The sequence below is a fragment of the Homo sapiens genome, chromosome 18 (assembly GCF_000001405.40).
Source record: "Homo sapiens chromosome 18, GRCh38.p14 Primary Assembly".
Classification (NCBI taxonomy): domain Eukaryota; kingdom Metazoa; phylum Chordata; class Mammalia; order Primates; family Hominidae; genus Homo; species Homo sapiens.
This window is the reverse complement of record NC_000018.10, coordinates 56,703,972-56,730,070: the sequence shown is the minus strand read 5'-3', so window position 1 is coordinate 56,730,070 and position 26,099 is coordinate 56,703,972. Positions and strand designations below refer to the sequence as shown.

The window sequence follows — 26,099 nt, the reverse complement described above, 5'->3', positions numbered from 1 at the left end:
CTCAAAATACAGAGTTCTAACAAATCTATGAGAAAAAAATAAGCCAACAAAATAATGTTTAAAGAATATGAACAATCAAGAAAAGAAATTGAAATAGGTAGTAATCATACAAAAAGATGTCAACCTCACTAATAATCAAAGAAATCAAATTGAAGCAATAATGAAATACTATTTATATCTTACCGTACAGATATTCAGCATTCTCAAGTATGTAAGAAAACTGGTAATACACTTTTAGTACAAATAAAAATTAGTAATTTTTTTAACAAATTCTATTAAATTTAAAACTCACATTTCCTTTAACACAGGAATTCCTATTCTAAGATTATGCTAAATAATGATACCATATCCAAACATATATGTGTGTGGTTGGGTTATAAATGTCTTAATCGTAATAGAAAAATTTTTCAGAAACCTAAATATCTAACATTAGTAGACTGTGTCAATAATTTATGATGTATCCACTAAAAGGAGTACTGTGAAGTTACAAAAACAATGTTTAAAAGCATGCTCTGCTATATATATTAACATAGAATAAAAGCCACAACATACTGTTAAATGAAAATAACAAGTTAGAGAAGAGTATTCATAGTATAAAGTGGGGGAAGGGATATTACAGTCACAGAAAAATACTCTCAATAGATGTACACTACTTGGTTAACAGGATATATTTACATGGTTGAATTAGTATAGAACTTCATATTCTTGTACATGAAGATTTGTAACATATCAATTTTTTACAAATGTATATCATATTATGTTTTTAAATATTGTGGGAAAAGATTATTTTAAGTAAATTAAAGTTAATTCAATTTTGAAAATAATATGATATTCTTTCAGATATCTTAAAGTTTCACAGGAATAAATTTAGAATTTACTGCTCTAGCTCTTAATTCTCCATTAAATGTAGTTTGTAGTTATAATGGAAAGGCTTAAGTGACTTTCCCTTATTGATATCTAAAATAAAATCATTAATCAACAAATAAGTGAGAATATACTACCTGCAAAAGCTCCAAGTAACTAATTTGATCTCTGGTGTCTAAAGTTTATACTTCCTCTTCTCTTCTGAACAACCGAGCCCAAAGTCAGTAAATACACCTGAGCAAAGGTAGGAGCCCATGTCAGATAAGGGGCATGGTGGTGAAAAGCGGGCCTGCAGCAGCCCAGAGCAATATGTCAGAGGCTGAGAGGGTGCAGAGGGAAGCTAAACAAGAGGGAAGTGGTGGCAGCAGCTTGGCACAGGGTTTAGCCCCAGAAGCATGTGCATCAAGAGACACTGTTGGAACCTGAGTGGAGAGAGGAGGGAGTTCACACAGTGACGCAGCCCAGTACAGATCCCAAAGGTGGGTCTAAGAAATCAACACATGAAAGCAACCTGGCACAGAAGGTTGAAGTCTAAGAGGTATGAAAAGGGCATCCATATGGTGAGTGGGGATGGGATGGGGCCCAAAGAGAGAAGAGGGCATCTATGCAGGTAGGCAGCTTTGCACAGGGTGCTAGATCCCAAAAGGGGAGAAAGGATGACTATGCTGGGAAGAGAGGACATCAGTCACAGGGTATCAGCCAGGATGGATAAAAAGCACATCCACACGAGGAGGCAGCATCATCTACTTCAGCTGTAAAGCAAGACAATGCTGAAAGAAAAAAAATATCCAGTGTGAAGGGACTCCCACTGACCAAATCCAAGACATCACATAAGAGTTTAGGAATGTAATCTGTTGTATAAAATAGAGATCCAACTGCAAATAAATGAGTAACTTAAATGTTTGATAAAGAAAAGCTATTTACATGGTTTCAAAGTATCTTTTCACAAAATGCTTACTAATTACAAAAAGAAAAAACATAACTTTGCAGTGAAGAAGCCAAAAAACACCTTAAGTGACCTAAGTAAACTCTAGTGATGAAACAAATTAAAATCATATGCCAACTGATAAGATGTAATGAGAAAAATGTCAGTGATTTTCTTGCCAAAGATACATATTCTGAAAATAACCATGAGAAGACATCAGATAAACGGAAATTGGGAAACATTTTATAAAACGACTGGCCAGAAATATTCAAAACTTTCAGTCTTTAAGGTGAAGGAAGAACTAAGGAATTATTTTAAATTGAAAGGGGGATAGAACTAACCATGCATAATTCTAATCTGGATCTTTTTGCAGTAAAAGACTGTAGTGGAACAACTGGAAAAGTTGGAATAAAGTCTGAAGATTAAATGGTTGTAACATATCAATGGTAATTAACTTCCTGGGGTGGGAGAGAAATGTATACCCCAAGAGTGAGGGTCAAAACATTTGCACATAAGAAGACAATCAACAACACAAGCCAAAAAGAATAATAAAGAGGCTGATATGGTTTCGCCCTGAGTCACCACCCAAATCTCACCTTGAATTGTAATAATCCCCATGTGTCAAGCGTGGGACGAGGTGGAGATAATTGAATCATGGAGACAGTTTCCTCTATGCTGTTCTCCTAATAGTCAGTGAGTTCTCACAAGATCTGATGATTTTACAAGGGGCTTTCCCCTTCGCTCAGCACTCCTCCCTTCTGCTGCCCTGTGAAGAGGTGCCTTTCACCATGATTGTAAGTTTCCTGAGGCCTCCCCAACCATGCGGAACTGTGAGTCAGTTAAACCTCTTTTCTTTATAAATTAGCCACTCTCAGGTATTTATTCACAGTAGCATGAGAATGGACTAATACAGAGGTTCAAAAGATAGAAAAAAAAAATCCATTCCCAACTAAACCTGTTTTTAAAAATATCAGGGAAAGAGTGGACTCTGCCTGAATATTTAAAGATTTTGAAAATTCAAATTAGCAGAAAAGACTTCTGCTTCCAGCCAAGATGGAGTAATAGGAACTGAATTTACCCTTTTACGTAAAATAATTGGGAAAAAAATAGATGTAAGGATTTGAAACAATGCTTTTTCAGACAATCCTTAATTGACTAATGTCCATTGTCTGAACACTGACTAACATCCATTGTCTGAATAGCCTAACAGATTCCTTAAGTTGAAGACAGATAGCTTAGAGTACAGGCAGCTAGAGTTTGCAGAATAGACTACCAGGGTGAAGAAAGCTCCACAGAAACCTGCAGAAGGTCCTCCTTACATACTCGGCAGAGTACTGATTACTGTGTGACTATGAAGAAAGTACCCAAGGCCAAGGAAAGAACCACTTGAAAAGATTACAGGGTACAGTACCCAGGACTCAGACAGGATTGTGAATAGTACCTACTCTGACCAGCCAGAATGGAAACCTCAAATTCATGAGCCACTGGGTACAGTTCTCAGGAAGGTGTTCCATTTGCAGTGGATAATAATTAGCTCCACATTTAACCCTGCTCCAGCCCTACCTGACAAGGCAAGACCCAAAAGGATCAAACTGTTTCTCAGTAATTTAACTGTGTCCCATCAAGCAGGAGAAAGAAATAAAGGGTATTCAATTAGGAAAAGAGGAAGTCAAATTGTCCCTGTTTGCAGATGACATGATTGTATATCTAGAAAACCCCATTGTCTCAGCCCAAAATCTCCTTAAGCTGATAAGCAACTTCAGCAAAGTCTCAGGATACAAAATCAATGTGCAAAAATCACAGGCATTCTTATATTCTGATAACAGACAAACAGAGAGCCAAATCATGAGTGAACTCCCATTCACAATTGCTTCAAAGAGAATAAAATACCTAGGAATCCAACTTACAAGGGATATGAAGGACCTCTTCAAGGAGAACTACAAACCACTGCTCAATGAAATCAAAGAGGATACAAACAAATGGAAGAACATTCCATGCTCATAGATAGGAAGAATCAATGTCGTGAAAATGGCCATACTGCCCAAGGTAATTTATAGATTCAATGCCATCCCCATCAAGCTACCAATGACTTTCTTCACAAAATTGGAAAAAACTACTTTAAAGTTCATATGGAACCAAAAAAGAGCCTGCATTGCCAAGTCAATCCTCCAAAAGAACAAAGCTGGAGGCATCATGCTACCTGACTTCAAACTATACTACAAGGCTACAGTAACCAAAACAGCATGGTACTGATATCAAAACAGACATACAGAACAATGGAACAGAACAGAGCCCTCAGAAATAATACCACACATCTACAACTATTTGATCTTTGACAAACCTCACAAAAACAAGAAATGGGGAAAGGATTCCCTATTTAACAAATGGTGCTGGGAAAACTGGCTAGCCATATGTAGAAAGCTGAAACTGGATCCCTTCCTTATACCTTATACAAAAATTAATTCAAGATGGATTAAAGACTTAAATGTTAGACCTAAAACCATAAAAACCCTAGAAGAAAACCTAGGCAATACCATTCAGGACATAGGCATAGGCAAGGACTTCATGTCTAAAACACCAAAAGCAATGGCAACAAAAGCCAAAATTGACAAATGCGATCTAATTAAACTAAAGAGCTTCTGCACAGCAAAAGAAACTACCATCAAGAGTGAACAGGCAACCTACAGAATGGGAGAAAATTTTTGCAATCTACTCATCTGACAAAGGGCTAATATCCAAAATCTACAATGAACTCCAACAAATTTACAAGAAAAAAACAAACAACCCCATCAAAAAGTGGGCAAAGTATATGAACAGACACTTCTCAAAAGAAGACATTTATACAGCCAACAGACACATGAAAAAATGCTCATCATCACTGGCCATCAGAGAAATGCAAATCAAAACCACAATGAGATACCATCTCACACCAGTTAGAATGGCAATCATTAAAAAGTCAGGAAACAACAGGTGCTGGAGAGGATGTAGAGAAATAGGAACACTTTTACACTGTTGGGGGACTGTAAACTAGTTCAACCATTGTGGAAGACAGTGTGGTGATTCCTCAGGGATCTAGAACTAGAAATACCATTTGACCCAGCCATCCCATTACTGGGTATATACCCAAAGGATTATAAATCATGCGGCTATAAAGACACATGCACACATATGTTTATTGCAGCACTATTCACAATAGCAAAGACTTGGAACCAACTCAAATGTCCAACAATGATAGACTGGATTAAGCAAATGTGGCACATATACACCATGGAATACTATGCAGCCATAAAAAAGAATGAGTTCATGTCCTTTGTAAGGACATGGATGAAGCTGGAAACCATCATTCTCAGCAAACTATCGCAAGGACAAAAAACCAAACACCGCATGTTCTCACTCATAGGTGGGAACTGAACAATGAGAACACCTGGACACAGGAAGGGGAACATCACACACCAGGGCCTGTTGTGGGGTGGTGGGAGAGCGGGGGAGGGATAGCATTAGGAGATATACCTAAAGTAAATGACAAGTTAATGAGTGCAGCACACCAACATGGCACATGTATACATATGTAACAAACCTGCACATTTTGCACATGTACCCTAGAACTTAAAGTATAATTATATATATATATAAAATTAAAAAAAGGTAAAAAAAATTTAACTGTGTCCCACAACAAAGCTCAAAAAAATTTACAGGAATACAAAAATATCCAATACCCAACAAAATAAAGTTCACGATATCTGGTGTCTAATAAAAAATTACAAAGGCATGGCCAGGAGCGGTGGCTCATGCCTGTAACCCCTGCACTTTGGGAGGCCAAGGCAGGTGGATCACCTGAGGTCAGGAGCTCGAGACCAACCTGGCAAACATGATGAAACCCCCCATCTCTACTAAAAATACAAAAAATTAACTGAGCGTGGTGGTGCCTATAATCCCAGCTTCTTGGGAGGCCTGAGGCAGGATAATCACTTGAACCTGGGAGGCAGAGACTGCAGTGAACTGAGATTGGGCCACTGCACTCCAGCCTGGGCAACAAGAGTGAAACTCTGTCTCAAAAAAAAAAAAAAAAAAATTACCAGGCATGTCAAAAAAATGATCAATACTGAGTGAAAAAAAAAAAATCAAATCAAGAAAAACAAGCCCAGAACTGATAAACATATTAAAATTTGAAGACAACGGCATTAAAAGTTATTATAATTATATTCCAGATGTTCAAAAGGTTTTGCATAGAGAAATAGAAGATATTAAAGTACCAAAATCAAGCTTTGAGAAATGTAAACTACAGTGTTTGGGATGAAAAATATACTAGATGGGAACAATTAGATTAGACATTATAGAAGAAAATATCAGTAAGCTTGAAGGCATAGCAATAGAAATTATATAAAATGAAACCAAAAAAAGTTTTTAAATGAAAATACCATCACAGTGAGCTGAAGAACAACTTCAAATGGCTTAAAAGACATATAATTGGAGTCTCCAAAGAAAAGAAAAGAAAATGGAGGGGAGAAAATATATTTGAATAAATTATGGCCAAAAGTTTTCCAAATTTGATAAAATCTACACAGCCACGGATCCAATAAGTATAACAAACCCCAAGAACAAGAAATAGAAAGAAAACCACAATCAAATTGCTCAAAACCAGTAATTAAGGAAAAAATTTAAAAGGAGCCAGAGAAAAGAAATGTTATATACAGAGGAAACATAAGGTTGACAGATTTCTTGCTGAAAATAATGCAACCCAGAAGACAGCTGGAGTACAGACAGCAAAAGACAAAAACCTGTTGACCTAGAATTCTATACCTAGAGAAAATAGCCTTTAAAAATGAAGATAAAATAGAGTTTTTTTCAAACATGCAAAAGCTGAAAGAATTCATCACCTGCAGACCTACACTAAAAGAAAAATTAAGTATTAGACAAAAGAAAAATGACTCCAGGCAAAATCTATATCTACACAAAGCAATAAAGAGCAATGGAAATGGTGACTACATAAGTAAATATGCAAGACTGCATTCTTATTACTCAAATTTCCTTAAAATATCATAGATACTTTTGTTTGTTTTAAACAAAAAAAAAAAGGAAAGAAAAAAGCAATGTTCCAAGTGAGTGAAAATCACGAAAACAATATGGATGACACTAGCAAGAAGAATTGGGAGTGACCCAATTATTATTGACTAGAGCAACTGGTCTGTGTAAAAGAACAGTAAGAGGTAAAGACAGAAGGTAGGAAAGTACCACACTATGGAAGACCTTGTCTTGAAGGCTTTATGAACTAATATTGTTTATGGTTTATTCATTAAGACATTAATATGAAGCAAGTGTTGTCAGTGTTTTCTTTCCTAAGATTAATTTCCCGGCAGAGTAAAGGATGAATTAGAAGGTAGAAAGAGTAGGCAGGGTACCCAATAAAGATAGCCTAGGTATGGAAAAATATGGCCATAAATTACAATGGTACACTGGAAATAATAAAAAAGTAGTTGAGGGATACCTAATGGGAAAGACTTAGTGATTAATTGCATGGAGGGGTTGTGAGAGGAGGGAGTAGTAAGCACAGTCATATCTCCACTCTAACAACCCCTTCCTTCAAAAAGGGAAGCAATGAAAATGGTAACTACAGAGGTAGGTAAATATGTAAGATTTCATAAAGTCAATCATTAAAAGAGAAAAAAGAAACTCTCTGATTATACTTGGTTTTACCAAGGTTATAGTCAATTACCTCTTTTTCTTAACCCATTCATTCTCTGTGTCTTCCCCTGTCCTATAGCATGTTTTGTAACAGAATGAAAAGCAAAAATGTACAGAAAAGCTGATGATGTAATGGCAATATATAGTGAAATACAAATGTAAGATCTAATTTCCACTGTATTAGATACTACTGGCAAAGGGTCAAATACGTGAAGAAAACACTTGCTACTAAAACCCTCCACTAATAACAAAGGACTGAACTTCAACACTACCTCCTGATTCTCTTCAGCAATTTTAGTAACAAGAGAAAAACATCAATTTAAATGTATCAAAATAAAAGCATGAAAAACGTTTTCAAAAATTAGTCTTAAGGAAGAATAACAGTCACTAAGACTTTACTTGTATGACAATCTGAGCCCCTGAAACACATGCTTTTTGTTAGCCATGTTTTATATATGTTTTTCAAAAGACATACAAATATACATTAATTCATAATTCCCTGCTAGATTTTATTAGGTACTTAAGTTCAAAAAGATGACTCAAATGCATATTTCATGAAGTACATGCAAAAAGAGAAATATCAGAAAACATGGAGTGCAGAACATAAAAAGAAACATCACAGAACAAATAAATTCACAAGTCCTCATACACTAATTTCTGATGATATTTGTCAAGCATTAATGGTGTTTGCATTTGTATAAGAACATCTAATAATTATACATAAGGAATAGAAATATGATGTGGGAATCACTTTTGTTGTGTAGCAAGAATGATAAAAAGAAGCCAGATGAGAATGTGGTTTAGGCTTGGTAATGGCTAGATAAGAAGAACATTTTGTAACATCAGTCATTACTTTCAGCATGCCTGTTTCCCAAACAGACAGGATTCTGACCTTGTCAAAGGCCTGTGAGAATGGCACTGCATACTTACTGGGAATATGAAATGTGAAGAACGAGACGGTTGATCCCAGAAGCACATCAACAGCTCCACAGAAACCACCTAGGTCAGTGACCCACCTTTAATAACTTCGTAAGAGGGAAGCAAGAGGTTCATCTGGCTAAATCTTGTTGCTAGTGTTTGGGTAGTTTTTTAACTATTTAGAGATGTGAAAGAATAATTTCCATGGCCATTACATCACTATTACATTGCTATTACATATAAGAAAATGTCACAATAAAAGAACAAAAGATTCTAGAACTCCAGCTCTCTACATTTTGTATTACTAGCTTTGACTGGATTTCACAGGGAACTATAAACTGAAAACACAAAGTACTCATTTGAAGGAAAAAAATGTTTAAACATGCTGCATAAACGTATAAAGGAAAGACACTTCAAGTGTTTTACACTAGAAACATCAGTATAACTCAAAACAATAACTAGAAAATTGCCCAATATGCAAAACAGGGTTAATGTGGTATGGCTGCATTTGGAAAAATACATTCCTGAAACACTAACAAGAGAGATCAAGTATCTCCTCAGAGTTTAAATACATTTCATACATCAAACCCTGGCTGAATCTGATTTTTTCTAGCTTCATTTTTTATTTATTTAATAAATAAATAAATTTAATAAATAAATAATGTCAATACCTCCAGGATGTACCTTACTGACTCCCCAGGGAACTTTGTATCACTAGCTACAGCATGAACAGCAAGGAGGAAAAAAACAATGTATGCCTCCCATTATGGTTGAAATCCAAAATAAATCCAGCTTCTCTATAGCATTTATCTTGAATGTCATATTGACTGATTGTTTACCCAAATCTTCAGCATGTAATTTCAATATTACATGCTGTATTTTATCTAAATTGGGCTTAATTACACTAAACTGATTATAACAATAACCTCTTCCAGTACCCCTACAGTTAGGGCCTATTTGTCATTTCCTTCTAGAAAACTCACTAGAACAGTAACTTTGTCTATCAGTAAGGCCTCATTTGTAAATAATTTCATTTTATATTCTTCACAAATATATTTATAGTATCTGAAATATTCAAGTATTATCTAAGCATCAGAAAAGTTCAGAAAAATGATAGTCTCTTCATCATACTTAATTTGAACAAGTCCCAGACAAGTTTACTATACATTTTCACTTAATATACATCAGCTATTAATTTAATAGTTATAGGGTTTTTTTTGTTTGTTTATTTTTAAGACAGAGTCTCTCTCTGTCTCCCAGGCTGGGGTGCAGTGGTGCAATCACAGCTCACTGTAGCCTCGACCTCCTGGTCTCAAGTGATTCTCTCACCTCAGCCACCTGAGTGGATGGGACACAGGCATGTGCCCCCACACCCAGCTAATTTTTGTATTTTTTTTTGTAGAGACAGAGTTTGGCCATGTCTCCCAGGCTGGTCTCAAACTCCTTGGCTCAAGCGATCCACTCCCCTCCATCTCCCAAAGTGCTAGGACTACAGGTGTGAGCCACTGCACCCAGTCTTAATATTGATAGTATTTTAATACAGTGTCTTGCAAATGCCATTATTGCTATAAGAACTTTCTTTAATACTAATTCCCAAAAAATTATTTCTAAATGTAGATAAAGTCATATTCCCAAGTTCAACAAAGTAACAAGTTAAGCAGCATGCTTCTTTAATAACAGTAGTAGGAAATAGATACACATGCATGTATACACACACACACAAGCTTACAATTGCACACACATACACATACATATAAACACACTTACATTCTGTTTACCACATGCCAGGGAAATATTATCTCATTTTATTCTCTCAGAAATGCTTTAAGATAGAAAATATTATTACCCTAATTTTACAGATGAGGAAATTGAGGGACAAATATCCAGTGACTTGGAATAGATCACAGTGTTAGCTAGGAGTCCATCCTAGCTAGTTCAAACTAAACAGTCTGACTCTAGAACTAAAGACAAATTCCATATATTCAGTTTATGAAGTGGACCAAAAAAGAAAACACAAGACTGCTATTCAGCAGATAGGACATAACATAAAGACACACAAAAGAAAGATATAAAATTGCATATGTAGTATGACAGCAATTCTGTTTTTTTTTTTTTTTTTTGAGACAGAGTCTCGCTGTGTCTCCCAGGCTGGAGTGCAGTGGCGCGATCTTGGCTCACTGCAAGCTCCGCCTCCCGGGTTCACGCCATTCTCCTGCCTCAGCCTCCCAAGTAGCTGGGACTACAGGCGCCCGCCAACATGCCCGGCTAATTTTTTGTATTTTTAGTAGAAACGGGGTTTCAAGTGTTAGCCAAGATGGTCTTGATCTCCTGACCTCGTGATCCGCCCGTCTCGGCCTCCCAAAGTGCTAGGATTACAGGCGTGAGCCACCGCGCCCGGCCAGCAATTCTGTTTTTTAAAATGCCCAGAAAGAGATTAGAAAGACATGTGCCAAAAATGTTAACATTTACCAATGAGCAATGAGATGTGGGCTCATCTTTCTTCTTTTCTAATACTTTTGTGCTTTTAAAACTTGACCAAAAAGTATGAATCTCTTTTACAATGAGAGACAAGAGAAAGAAAGGTTACATGCAAAAGCAAGGAAGTTTGACAGACTTCAAGAATGCTTCCTCTTGTCAAGATTGCCTATGTACTACCAGTTAAAATGAAGACAATAAATAAAAGATTACCGAAGCTTATGGCTATTTATTCCCAAAAGGCTTAAGAGAACTCCCGTTCGCACAATAGTGCATGCACAAATATGTATATAGTCTGATTTCAAAAAATGCTATTTAAAACAAAGACGAAGAAAAGGAAAAAATCTAGTAGAAATATTAGTACAACTAGGAATTAAAAGAAAGACTTTAATAACTGATAGATGATTAGTGAAAATTGTGAAAGTAAAAAAGCAACGAGTTTCAAAAAGGCCTAAACCAATAAACATTTAGTTATATACTTACAAATTTCTGAGGGAAAACCACAGCAGTCTGTGTATAAACATTACATATCATTGTCTGTGCTTTTAAGCTAAGCATTACTATTTCTACATTATACCCCCAATACATAAACTTTCTGAAACTCGAAATTTTAAATGTTCTCTCTAGAACTTGAAAACTTCATTTTAATTACCTCATACAAGTAACTGCCCAGCATTGCTTTTCTGCTGTTCAAAGAAAAAAGGGTTGTATCTTTTTCACCGTATGTAAACCTGAGATAAAAATGATTTCTTCTTCTTGTCCACAGTTTACTTGTGAATTATATAGAAAACATATATACTTTGTTGTCCATATGTCTGTCCTCATCTGTATATTATCCTCAATTACATGCTTTTAAAGATTCGTGAAATATTCTACAAACATTTGGCATAGCAGAACAAAAAAGAGGCCACTTAAACAATTAGAAATAAAAGTAGCAACTATTTTACATTTCAAGCCTTTTTTCTTCATATAAAAGACATTTTCATTTCTAGAAAATGAAATACACCCATTTAATTTTCTATAGTATCTCTTCATACTTGTTCTTACCAGTATCCATTTGCCAGACGTACACAGAACCATCTGAACACCCCACCACCAGGTAATCATCAGAAGGCCTCCATTTGATTACTTGAATAGGAAAAAGGTGACGAGATGCCAACATTATGCATTTTTTCTCTCGCAAACTTAGAAGTCCTACTGAGTGGTCACTGGCTACAGAGCAGATGCAGTGCTGTACTCTTGCCTGAAAAGAAGAATAAACCTTAATTGTGTTTAAATTAAATTTAGAATAAAATGGATCCTGTTTTCAATAACTTAAGGCAAAATTAATTATACATTTGCTGCCACTGAAAAACCACCACAATATTAGGTCATGTTGAAAAGTATGTTCCTTTATATTATACATAAAACCCAGATCAATCATCAAAATATTTTTATACTAAATTAATTCTAGATTAAAGATTGCAAAAGGTACACTGGAAAAACTGCTGTTCAAATTTAAAGATGACCTCACTACAATGATTGCTATATTGGAGCAGGCAAAGCTGAGAAAAAATTGATCTGTTATTAGGTGTGCTCTTTCCACAGTGTGAACTTTCCTTTGTTTGCTGTGGGAGCTGCTTTCTGCAGTGCTTCTTTCTGTCTGTGACTCTTTCATTTAGACCCATGCTCTTCCCTGCACCTTTGATCAAAAACAATACCCTCACCGTCCCTCTGCCACGATCATTTCTTAGGAGTCATAGATATTCACATTATCTGTAGATATGCATTCCTATTTCCTTCATGGTTTCTATCTATAATGTCAGCAGATGCATCACCTCAAGTAGCCACACAATAGCCAATTAAATGTTCTGCTGTGTATTTTCTGCTCACCTCTAGTTTTTGCCCTTCAACTCCTTTTTAGAACAAGACAAGATATAAATAATCAAAGATTTTCTCTGGTAAGAGAGAACTGAACCCATGACCTAAAAAATTAAAAATTAAAGTCTAGATTTCTATAAAACAATTTATAAACAATTGAAAACTTAACTTTTCAGTGACTTACTGGTTTATGCTTTCAGGTCATACTGAGGGAAACCACATAAAAACAGCCATCAGAAACTCATTCTTGTACATATTGTGGCTATTTATTGAGGGGGAGGCCCACTGCACTATAAATATACTCTTTCCCTTGTATGGGATCTAAAGAAAAAACACGTCAAACCTCACCCTGCTGGGGGTTCTCCTAAGCAAACAGGTTGTTTTTAAACTAAAGATCAATATCTCAATATCTTTCCCAAATGGGACACGTTGATAGGTATTAGGTGAAAAAAAGGGAGGAAAGTGTGGTCAAATGTGCATGGGAAATACTGACAATACTGAGGTTGGGTAGTAGCTGTTGTTTTTAACCACAGAACTTCCAAGAACCTTTAGAATGCTGTGACTGTAATTATCTCTTTAAGGGGATACAACACCATTCATCTCCAAAGTTGTTTGACCACAGTAATCTTATTAAGACCTAGTTTTAGATGAACACACTTTGGAAACTCAGAACTGAATTTTCTGTCTATAACAGTGCTGGATCTTGGGCATAAGTATCTGAATATGGTCTATCAATGGTCTCATTTGCTTTCTCCCCTTACATTCTCTTCACCATGATTTAGCTTTATTTTTATCTTACTAGCATAATGTTTACTTTTGTAAACAACCTAAAATCAATGTTTGAATGAAGCTGCATAGTAATAAAACAAAAATAACAGTAATATTTAACTATTTATTCTTAAATTCAACTGTTTTATTTTTATTCTTTGTTAGCTTCATTTGTACTTTGTGTATTATAATTACACACTATAATCAGCATAACAGGTGTTTACTCATGTTACAAGTTAAAAAAAAACTAAGTTCGGAGAAATAGTATTACAAACCTTCATTAAAACGTTAATAGAATTTTCTTAAGCATGTTTTAAGCTTACTTATTTTCCTGATAAACATTCAGTTGAAACATGAAATGTGATTCTTAATGTCTTAGCAAAAGACATTAAATACTGAGGGGTAGTTGATTCTGACACACACAAATTAGTTTTATAATTAACAAATCAAAACAAAATGGCAAACTACAAAAATAGTTAAATTTGGGTATGTTAGAACAAAACTGGGTAAATACACACACACACACACACACACACACACACACACACTGCTACGTATGTACGTTGCTAATTCAAAGCAACAGAGAGTTCAATACAATGGATGCTTTGCATTTCTACAGCTTATCATCAGTACTGACTTTGTCAAATATATCCATTATTCATTTTATAAAAAGGGTTGGTTGCTACATTAATGGTTAAATACAATATTCTATTTTGCAACATCGATCTGCCAAAAAGTGGTCATTTTATTTATTGCCCTCATCAAAGAAACAGTTATCTTTTTCTACGGGTATAATTAACTTAAAGAATGATGCCTAAACAGTATTCCTTTTAATCTGTTCATGTCCTCCCATCAGGCACTGATCAGTCACAGTATTCACACACCCAACACTACTGTTTTATATCTATAATATTTAATAGAGCCTCTATGTTGCCCAGGCTAGTCTTGAACTCCTGGGCTCAAGCAATCCGCCTGCCTCAGCCTCCCAAAGTGCTAGGACTACAGGCATGAACCACCGCGCCTGGCCACTGACCCTACTTTTGATTCTGCTACTTAGACTCCCAAACTCTCCAAAATCTTCTTTATAAAGAGCTAATCCCTAATTAGTGCCACACATCTAACTGACCTATTTGCTAGTCCCCACGTCGAAAGTCATTTCATTCATGCTCACATATACTCTAGTCATTCCTTTCCAAAAAGTAGAGAAAATGAAGTATGAGTCAATATGAAGTTTTGCCAATATTCTCTACTATGTTAGGCGTTCCTAAAATTCTGCCCTACTGGAGATCTCAACATCTGAGGTGACACAAAGCTGCTGACAACCACTGAGCTACGCATACTCTCTCTCTCTGTCAAAGATCTCCTTACCATAGTTTGTAATTTAGCAGAGAGAGGACTAGAGCCATTAAGCAAAGAAAAAAGGTTTTCTCATTCTTATGAGAAACTTGACCTTCCGCATTATCAACCCCTCATGAGAAGTTTCCCTGTCAGAACTTTCACCCTCCCCACAGATACACAGGCAGATAATTTCAAAGATTTAAGAAAACGTAATCTATCTTCATAAGACTTAAAAACTCTACATTATTACTCTCATGTAGTAAAAATAAAGGACATACAAAATGAATATTAAATAAGAGCATAGGATCTGCTTTAAAAAGTAGATTATGAGATGTAATTTTCTGAAGGTTAAAAAAAAGAGCTTTAACACCAAGATTCTAGCTTTTCATTTCTACATGACACATTCTCCTCTGACACATATATTTAACTAAATATGTTTTAAAGAATACTTTTATTCCCCTTTCACATAGTGTAATAATGAAAATTTGCAAATAACAAGCTCAATCTACAAAAAACTGTTTGGTCCAGGCCGGGCACAGTGGCTCACACCTATAATACCAGCACTTTGGGAGGTCGAGGGGGATGGATCACCTGAGGTCAAAAGTTCAAGACCAGCCTGGCTAACATGGTGAGAGCCCATCTCTACTAAAAATACAAAACAGTAGCCGATGGGGAGGCTGAGGGAGGAGAATCGCCTGAACCTGGGAGGCAGAAGTTGCACTGAACCGAGATCGCACCATTGCACTCTAGCCTGGATGACGGAGTGAGACTCCATCTCAAAAAAAAAAAAAAAAAAGTTTCGTCCAAAGTAAACATGATATACCATCTCTGTAAATGATAATAAGTATCTAAAGAGTTAACTTTAGCTTTACTGTAATAAGAAAGACTGGAAGTAGCCAAAATAATCAAGAATGAAAACAAAAAAAAATCAATATTACTAAGCCCAAGAAAGCATAGTTATTAGAGGTACTTAACTCACAAGAAAAGATGGTTCTGTGCTTTTTAAATATGGATTAAAATAAATCTAATTTTTCTTCTTTCAAAAAAATGCTAGTCCAACTCATATAAAGAAAACTGGCCTGAAGTGGAAATGACCCAATATAGTAAAACCTCATTAATTTTGATTTCACTAATTAATTCTGAGGTGATGGCTACCTTTGCAGCCTGTGTGAAAACAAATTAATGGTATAAACAAAGCAAATGTCTAGCTTATTTAAGTGTAAAAGGAAAAAAGACTATTCAAGCAACATTTCATATTAATTTTAAACAATGAACAGAGTAATAATAAATAATTCTCAGCTTTCTGTTAAATAAAAGCACTTAAAAGTTCTGATAAAACACAACTTGGTTTCCTCTTATCTGTCCTCAAAATTATTAAAGCACTTCTTAAAGAATACTTTATAACTCATATTTCTTCCTGATTTACACCCAGCTTCTTCACAAATGAGTTAAATTAGCACAATTCCTTTATTATTAAATTCTAGAGATCTGGGTTACTGAACACCTATTTCACCTGCAATGACTCATTCTATAATTTGATTAATTCCATTCTACTTCATCTTTTTCCATTTCAACCTCGAAAAGTCACCTAAACATGATTTAACACCAATGGCATTATAACAAGATAATGTATAAAACACTTAAACTGTATAAGTAAAATAATAATACAACAACTAAAAAATGTGAACCTCTTATCTTTAAACTTATTTGAAAAATATTTATGCCTCAAATTATTCCTATTACACATGCATTAAATAATTTTGAAATGTGTTCCCAATAGTTGTATATTTATAAATTGTATATGTGTAATTCTGTGCAATGTATCACCTAAATTGTAATAGATGCACAAATACATATATTTCAAAAGGATGACTCAAGGTTTAAATAAACAGATTTAAGAATAAACATTTCTCAAATGTCTCATTAATGTGAGTAACTTCACATTACATTAGCCAATATCTCATGTCACAAAATAGATCCTTAGGAAGGTTTCCTTATTAATGACAGTGGATGTAAATACAAATTTCATATAATTATAAATTTTTTGCTGCCCTCCTGCCAGACTGATCAAATGATCATTAAAACTTGTAATATAGCCGATGAAGAGATTTTTCATTAGAAATATCTCCCATCCATATTTTCCCTGCCCATTTTGTGATGGCTAGGTTTAGAACTATATAATATAATCTGCAAATCCCTTAAGCAAGCACATTTTAAGTGGAAACAAACAGGATGAAAGTAACTCTGGCACCCCACTTGAGGCTCACCCACTCTTGCCTGAGATGATGCGTGTCCCTCTGGTATGCAAAACAGGTGAGGCCACCAATGCCCCTCCTTCTAGTAAATGTTCATAAAGCTCAATTTCCTAAGATTAAAAAATAAGTAAGTAAAAGTTCTAAGATTTTCTTCCTATACCTCCATTGACTGTCTCATCTATTCTACTTCAGTAACCGCTGCTATCAACTGACTTAAAGAATGTAAACATAAAATTCCCCTTAAAAATTTGTATTGTTATGGAACAGAACTTATGCAGCACAGATGAAGTATTCTATCAACTTAGATAGTATTTTACAGGTGAAAGCTATTCAAATTCATGTTCCAAACACTGTATTCATTCTGCCCTACATGCAATATGCACCAATGACATCAAATGCCAATTAAAAGTAAAGGCTAACAACAATCAACAGAATATTTAACCAAGTAAAAACTCTATTTTTATTTTATGAAAAAGCAAGGAGAGGGGAGAAAATACTGGCCCAAAACAAGTATATTCTTAGGTCAATTATTATTTTTCAAATAATTATCATCCTAAGCCAAATAAAGGCTCATTGGATTTGCCAGTAAATAATCCTCAGTAGTGCTGAACAGCAGAATGCCACAAGCTATCACAGAATCTGACAGAGTCAGAATATACCACCTAGGTCACCCAGTCTGACCTTACACATTTTACAAGACTTCATTTTAAACCATTCCCAGAAACCTCTTATGTAACCTGTTCCTAAGCATCTGCCATGAATTACAGAAATCAGAGACAGCTAGTTTATCCCATCCACTAGCTCTCTGGGGAGATGACTCCACTTTCCAACAGCTCCCAGTGTAAATAATAGATATTTTTTATTTTCTATTTTTGCTAATTTGTTTTTCTAAACTAAATTACTCTTTTTCTTCATATCATTTCAGAAGCAATGGTCTTATGTGCCCAAAACAATTTTTCTCTTGGCCTGAATAGTCGCTAAACACATGAACATTCTATTGTCTTTCCTTTTAAACATGCCCATCATTAGACATGCTGTAAATGACCAGTTTCTTTTGCTCATAAATCAATCCCACTATTCTCTTAATCATTATCTCTTGTACTTCCCAGAACTCTTGCTATGGAACATAAATGTGCAGTTAAGATGCATCATTTATCACGTTAAATATTCTACCTGAAGGGGAAAAAACAGCCTATGAAATTAAATGTTAATTTCACTTCTACACTTTCACAAAACTAGACCTTTAAAAAAAGCTTTAAAAATCCAAACTTCATTTAAAAAAAAAAGTAGAGGACTGTTTATTTAATACATGTTTTAGAAAAAAAGGCCATATGGTCCAGCCAAAACACCGATTAACAAACTAATTGGATAATTACGTGAACAAGAAAACTTTTAAGGACTAGTTTTAATGTCTTCCTTTATTCACTGTATAAAAAAAAACACTGAAGAAATAGTGGGCTAATTAGAACTCTATAATTCTTCAACTGCTTCCTTATTAATAAAATGGTAAAGAAATATGAAGGATTTAATACAAGATTAAGAAAATACTATCAAAGAAAAAACATGTATTTAATAAATAACATTGTGATAGCTTAGAGAGGAGCAGATATTTTTTATCCTTACATCACCCCACAATCATAAATACATTTCAGATATATTATTTTATGTTTGTTTTTAATTTAGCCATTGTTTCTTATCAAGTCTTATCACATTTCTGGGTGGGATAAGATTTCAAGCTTCAAAAAATGTGGAAGAAACTACAAATAAAAAAATAAATTTGATTACATAAAAACTGAAAATACGTGTAGGTTAAAAAATTCAACAGTAAATAATAAATTAGAAATTCCAGCAACAACAGAAGCCACATAAGCTTAATATTTTAGTTAAGAGCTCAAACACTAATAACCCTTGGAGAGGAAAAAAAAAAGCAAAGGACAAAAAGAAAAATGTCTTTTAAAAAAAAAAACTAAAATCCTTTTAGAAAAATTTGAATATTTCTAGGTATCAAAGAAAAGCAAATTCAAACATTAAAATACTATTTTTACCTGTCAACTTGGACAAAGATTCTAAAAATTACAATGCCAAATAGTTAACATTTTGGGGGTTGATACTTTTTGCTAGGCATGTTCCAACTGCTTGGCAGTAATTCATTACAGTCTCATAACAACCCTTCGAGGTAGGTACTATTATTTCCATTTTTAAAGATGTAGAAACTGAAGCATATAAGTAACTAACATTTGTGCTGGCAAGCGGCAATGAAGTGGGCGCTGAGAGTAGAAAATAATTTCATAATATAATTCAGCAGCCTTAAAAATGTTAATAAGCTATTATATCAAATTTCTGAGGTTCTGATACTTTCATTGAGTAGACTATATCCAAAGAAAATAATCCTAAATGAAAGAAAATATTTACATACAAACACATTCAATATTGTATTATTTACAGTAGAAGATACTGGGAACAATTAAATACCCAAGGTAGAATTGCTAAGTAAATATGGTATGCTCACACAATGTAATGGAAAATTACTTTCATGAATAAGCAAAATAAGTCGGAAAATATTTGTCATAATATTAAATGAAGATGCAATATGCACAGGAAACTGTATCTACAGTATAATCACATGGATATAATAAAATGGATTTTAAAAGCCTAGAAGAACGTGTATCAAAATATATTAATTGGCCAGGCACGGTGGCTCACGCCTGTAATCCCAGCACTTTGGGAGGCTGAGGCAGGCGGATCACAAGGTCAGGAAATCAAGACCATCCTGGCTAACACGGTGAAACCCCGTGTCTACTAAAAATACAAAAAATTAGCCAGGCATGCTGGCAGGCGCCTATAGTCCCAGCTACTCGGGAGGCTGAGGCAGGAGAATGGCATGAACCCAAGAGGTGGACCTTGCAGTGAGACGAGATTGCGCCACTGCACTCCAGCCTGGGTGACAGAGCGAGACTCCATCACAAAAAAAAAAAAAAACAACTATATATATATATAAATTGTGGTTCTCTTAATTGTAGAAGAATAACAGGTGACCTTTTACCTTCTTAGTTATCTCTACTTTCAAAAATGTTAACAGTGGGTATACATTAATCAAGGTGGAATGAAAACTATACCACATTTTTAAAGAGCAAGTAACATATTACAAGTAAAAGAAAATAAAAGGGGACTAAAACTGAAAAACTCCAAACTTGAATAATCAAAGATGAAAAACTAAAAGATAAATTATGCAAATCAATAATGAAAAATGACAAAAATTGGAGAAAACTACTTACTTTGAAATAGACTACTAAATCTGCTAGAGGGCAGCATTTATCAGTTCAGCCTGTGAAGTCAGACTACTCAGGATCAAATTCGAGCTCTGCCATTTGCTAACTGTCTGACTTGGATGAGTCATTTAACCTCTCTGAGTCTCTTTTCTCTATGTGATGTGGTTAACAGCAGTAACATACCTAACAGAATTGCTGTGTGAATAACACGAAATATAAATTCATGCAGTGACTAACATGTCATGAATACAAAAGATGATAATATTATCTCCATCATTATTATTATTATGTAATTATATACCATAGATTCTATCTTTTAGAATGTAATTGTATTTATTTTCTGAAGGGGTTAAGTGTTGCTGAAGTTTAGGTATCTACCAGAAAATGTGAAAACATTCATAATTCTTCAAGAACATAAGTTTCCCTTTTTCAATACTTTCTTCTCATATTAATACCTCTGCTTTAATTTAATCTGAATAGTTTCATCTGCATAATCATCAGTATCACTCACATGCTACCATAAATTACATTAATAAAGCTTTATAACAATTTATAAATAAATAAAATACAACTCCTCAATGGCCAGCTTCCACTGTTCTCTGAATATTTCTTATGTTTTTCTACTGAACTTACTTTATTTTTCACTTCATGCCTTTAAAATATTAAAATGCTTTCTTTAATTTCACTTATATATTTATGGGTTTTAGAGACTGAGATGGTTAAATCTGCAAGCTCTAAAATTATAAAGTTTTGTTGTTGTTGCTGTTGTTGTTGTTGTTTGAGACAGAGTCTCGTTCTGTTGCACAGGCTGGAGTACAGTGGCACGATCTCGGCTCACTGCAACCTCTGCCTCCCAGGTTCAAGTGATTCTCCTACCTCAGTCTCTCAAGTAGCTGGGATTACAGGCACATGCCACCATGCCTGGATAATTTTTTTGTATTTTTAGTAAACACGGGGTTTCACCATGCTGGCCAGTCTGGTCTCAAACTCCTGACCTCAGGTGATCCACCTGTCTTGGCCTCCCAAAGTGCTGGGATCACAGGCGTCAGCCACCGCGCCTGACCTTATATTCTAAAGTTTGTTAAGGAACTCAAAGTGTTGCCCCTTTCCACTCTCCACACACCATTCAGCTGTCCGCTGTCATCTGTCCATGCCCACAAACCTTGGGCTGCACACATTCAGGGAGTTAGACCTTCTGAAAAAAGACTGCCTGGTATTACAACTCCCAAAAGCTTTCTGTTGGTCCTGCCCTTCTACTTTCTCACTCCTCAACTTAGAACTTAAATGGCAACCACACATCTGACCAAGCGATTTTTAATCTGTCTGCTTGGCCTTACCTGTTTCTGCAAATCATACCTATATCATTACAAGAAATAAACACTGGGCCAGGCATGATGGCTCATACCCATAATCCCAGCACTTTGGGAGGCCGATGTGGGCAGATCACTAGAGGTCAGGAGTTTGAGACCAGCCTGGCCAACATGGTGAATCCCCATCTCTACTAAAAATACAAAAATTTACTGAGTGTGTTGGCGAGCCCTTGTAATCCCAGCTACTCAGGAGGCTGAGGCACAAGAATCGCTTGAACCTGGGAGGCGGAGGTTGCAGTGAGAAGAGATAGCGCCACTGTATTCCAGCCTGGATGACAGAGCAAGACTCTGTCTCAGAAAAAAAAAAAAAAAAAAAGGAATAAACACTGAATTCACACACCTCTGATACAGCCACAGAAAACTTTCTCTTTCCTTTCTTATGGAAACAAACGGGTTGACAGATACTGTCCTCATTTTTCTAACTGGAGATGCAGAACAAACCTGTATATCTCTTTCCTGGCAGTAAATTAACAGAACACAATATGCTAAAAGCACCTCTTTGTTTTGAAAGGATGCTGGCTTGCTCTTTAAGCCTGTATCAAAAAAACGCAGAGAAACCTAACCTTCAGTGTCCACAAAACACTATGGGCTGGCAAGAATGCTGTGCCTAGCCCATAATTTATGTCCTAAGAAGAGCAATAAATGGGGTCAAACCTCCCCCTTGATCATCTGGGGTCATGTTGACAAACGCTTTGCATGTGTAATACCCCACTGTAATCTACCCACAAATGTCCAGAAAAACATGACCCAGTTTGGGCTTCTCAGACAGTTGAAAACCCCAATTTTCAGGCAATGAGCAGGAAAGAATGGTACTTAGGACTATAATTTCCAAGGAATTAGAGGAGAGTAAAAACCTGTTATCCAGTTGTTGGTTCTTAATTATCTTGAAACTTCTATCTCATGCCAAAAAAAAAAAAAAACAAAACGCAAAGTTAGACTGTCAGAGGAAGAGAAGTCATCCCTAATTTGTACGGGTTTTAAAACCACCTGGCCATAGTTGGGAAACAAGCAAATGAAAAGTACCTAACAGAGGAACAAAGTATATCTACAGTAAAGTCAGTTGAGGCTGGGCATGGTAGCTCATGCCTGTAATCCCAACATTTTGGGAGGCCAAGGCAGGTGGATCATTTGATGTCAGGAGTTTGAGACCATCCTGGCCAACATGGTAAAACCTCATCTCTACTAAAAACATAAAAAAATTAGCTGGGTGTGGTGGTGCGCGCCTGTAATCCCAGCTACTGGGGAGGCTGAGGCAAGAGAATCGCTTGAACCAGGAGATGGAGGTTGCAGTGAACTGAGATCACACCACTGCACTCCAGCCTGGGTGGCAGAGTGAGACTCTCTCTCAAAAAAAAAAATAAAAATTTGGCGGGGCACAGTGGCTCATGTCTGTAATCCCAGCAATCTGGGAGACTGAGACAGGCCAAGGTCAAGAGATTGATGCCATCCTGGCCAACATGGTGAAACCCCGTCTCTACTAAAAATACAAAAATTAGCTGGGTGTGGTGGAATTCACCAGTAGTCCCAGCTACTCGGGAGGCTGAGTCAGGAGAATCACTTGAACCTGGGAGGCAGAGGTTGCAGTGAGCCAAGATGGCACCACTGCACTCCAGCCTGGGTGACAGAGCGAGACTCCATCTCAAAAAAAAAATAAAAATAAAAATAAAATTTTTCTAAAAAGTCATTTGAGTACTGAAAATGAACGTACAAACTGCCCAGATTTAGGCATTTATCATCCAAATGACAATGTAGATAACTGAAAATAGAAATAATAGCAACAATAATGATGATTCAATGAGCTCTCATTACAGGCCAAGCGTTACTTCTAAACCTTAAACCAACACTTCACAGAAATTGTGGCTAGGGCCTAGAGATGTTAAGTAACCTGCTAATGCCACTCCAAGATGGGTGACACAAATCCAGGTCTGTTTGGTTCTAAAGGCTGTTCTCACTGACCAATTGACGGTTCCATTATTTCAAGCTCCATATGCCTACAGCAGAGTGTGCTCTCCAACTCCTTTAGAAAGTCTTCACCAATGACTAAGAAAAATCATTGATAATGACTCCAAAAAGAGAATCATCATACAAAAGTCAACTTTGTTGTTTGTTCTTTTTTTCTAAGATGTTATCATCCATTTTCATTTCATTTTACCAGCTTGTCAAATCTTTCTTTAGACAAATAACATGAACATTTTCCCTCTCAGTACAGTCCCATATTTTATTATCTTTACTTTTTTCTTCCCTACCTAAGTAGGCTGAAATAAAGTATCCTATTGCAGCTAGACTGCAGCACATACAAAACCATCACTCTGATCTGTTGGTCATTATTTTCTTTTTGTTGTGGTTTTTGAGACGGCATCTCCCTCTGTCGCCCAGGCTGGAGTACAGTGGCGCAATCTCAGCTCACTGCAACCTCCACCTCCCAGGTTCAAGGGACTTTCCTGCCTCAGCCTCCCGAGTAGCTGGGACTATAGGCACGCGCCACCACACCCAGCTAATTTTTTTTGTATTTAATAGAGATGGGGTTTCACCATGTTGGCCAGGATGGTCTCGATCTCTTGACCTTGTGATCTGCCAGCCTCAGCCTGCCAAAATGCTGGGATTACAGGCGTGAGCCATCGTGCCAGGCCAGTCATTATTTTCAAAGTAATGTATGTATGTCCAATTCCTGCCAGGATCCGCCTAAATCCAAGTATTATCAAGTACTATCTATTGTAGACAGATCCATCAGGTACTAGTCAGGAAAACATCAATTGTTCCAGACACCTCCACATAACATGCATAATGCTAAGAGCATCTGCAAACAGAGGTTGTTAATGTATCATTTATGATTTTATAAATATCCACAAAACTAATATATTCAAATATCATATATATTGACCTTCCTTAAAGTCTTCCAAAATCACCCAAAGTAGACTTCCTAAGTGCCCTATGTACTCCCTGAGGGCTTTGAAAAACCCCTTTCCATAAGATTTATCATACTCCTTTATAACTGCTGTTTGCTGGTCTGGCTCCCTCATTAGACTAAATATTACAAAAAAAAAAAAGATATCTTATCCCTATCTCTGGTTCTAGAAAGTGCCTGAAATATGGCAGATAGTCAGATATTTGCCCAATGAATGTCTAATCAAAAATATGTTGCACCAAACTGAATACTACACTTAAAAGGTAATTCATTTCTTCCTAGCAATTTTTGCCATTTAAAAATATAGAGAGCAGTGCATGGTGGCTCACACCTGTAATCCTAGCACTTTAAGACGCCAAGATAGGAGGATCACTTGAGGCCAGGAGTTCAATGCCAGCCTGGGCAACATAGCAAGACTTCATCTCTAAAAAACAAAAATTAAATTAAAAAAATGAAATGTAAACTCATTTTGAAATTGTCCTATGATTGTGTTACTCAAGAAAAATTAGTTGTTGTGTAATACTTTCTCTCCAGTCCAAAATAAAAAGTCAATTTAATCAGCTACTTCATTCACTAGGTTTAGCATGAAATCACTTCTGACCATTATTAAAAGTAAATTTCATGCCTAATCAGCAATATGATTTAAGATTTTAAGGAATCTTTCCAAAATGTAAGAATTTCTAATTTTTTAAAATGTTTGGCATGATATCAGCACAGTCAGCTAAGGATGCAGTCTTTCTCATTACTGTTAAAGGGGCCTCTCACTGCCAGTCCCTTAGCACTGAGTTTTCTGGCCTCCTACACAAGAGACAGGTGTAAGACATTAAATTGCAGTTTTGCCATTAAAATAACAAAAATTACTTGCACAACCTAATATTTGAATGTATACATAATATTCATAGCATGACAGGGTCTCACTCTGTCACCTAGGCTGGAGTGTAATGGCGCAATCATGCCTCACTGCAGCCTTGAACTCCAGGGCTCAAGCAATCCTCTCACCTCAGCCTCCCAAGTAGCTAGAACTATATGCCCATGTCACCAAACCCAGCTTTTTTTTTTTCTTTTTTGATAGAGACAGGGTTTCACTATGTTGCCCAGGCTGGTCTTGAACTCCTGGCATCAAGTGATCCTCCCAGCTTGACCTCTCAAATTGTTGAAATTACAGGTGTAAGCCACCATGCTCAGCCTCAACTTTTTATCTTTAAACAATAGTATAGAATAGTAGTACAAATTTGGAAAACATAAAATTATCAAGAATATAAAACCAACCAGAATGTACAACTAATATAGTATTGGTAATATTAATACATTTGTGCTTTAAAATGAACGTGAGAGCTATAGTTACATATGCTCTACATACAGCTGCTTTCAAGACTAGAAAATTAGCAAGGCTTAAAAGATTATAAACAGGATGATGAAGGATTACGGTAGTAAAATGGTGACTGTACAAACCTATTCCTCATTGTTTGA

At 35.8% G+C, this 26,099-nt stretch overlaps 1 protein-coding gene across 13 annotated transcripts in view; it reads right to left on the bottom strand.

Moving 5' to 3' along the window:
- Positions 1-26,099, bottom strand: part of WDR7 (WD repeat domain 7) — a 385,248-nt gene that overhangs the window by 306,536 nt on the left and 52,613 nt on the right. For all 13 annotated transcript variants that reach the window (XR_007066131.1, XR_007066132.1, XR_007066133.1 and 10 more), the window contains one exon: positions 11,912-12,107. Coding sequence is in view for 9 of the 13 variants with exons in the window: in NM_015285.3 (NP_056100.2) it covers positions 11,912-12,107 (196 nt within the window). In the remaining 4 variants the exon portion in view is untranslated. The remainder of the gene's footprint in view (positions 1-11,911; positions 12,108-26,099) is intronic.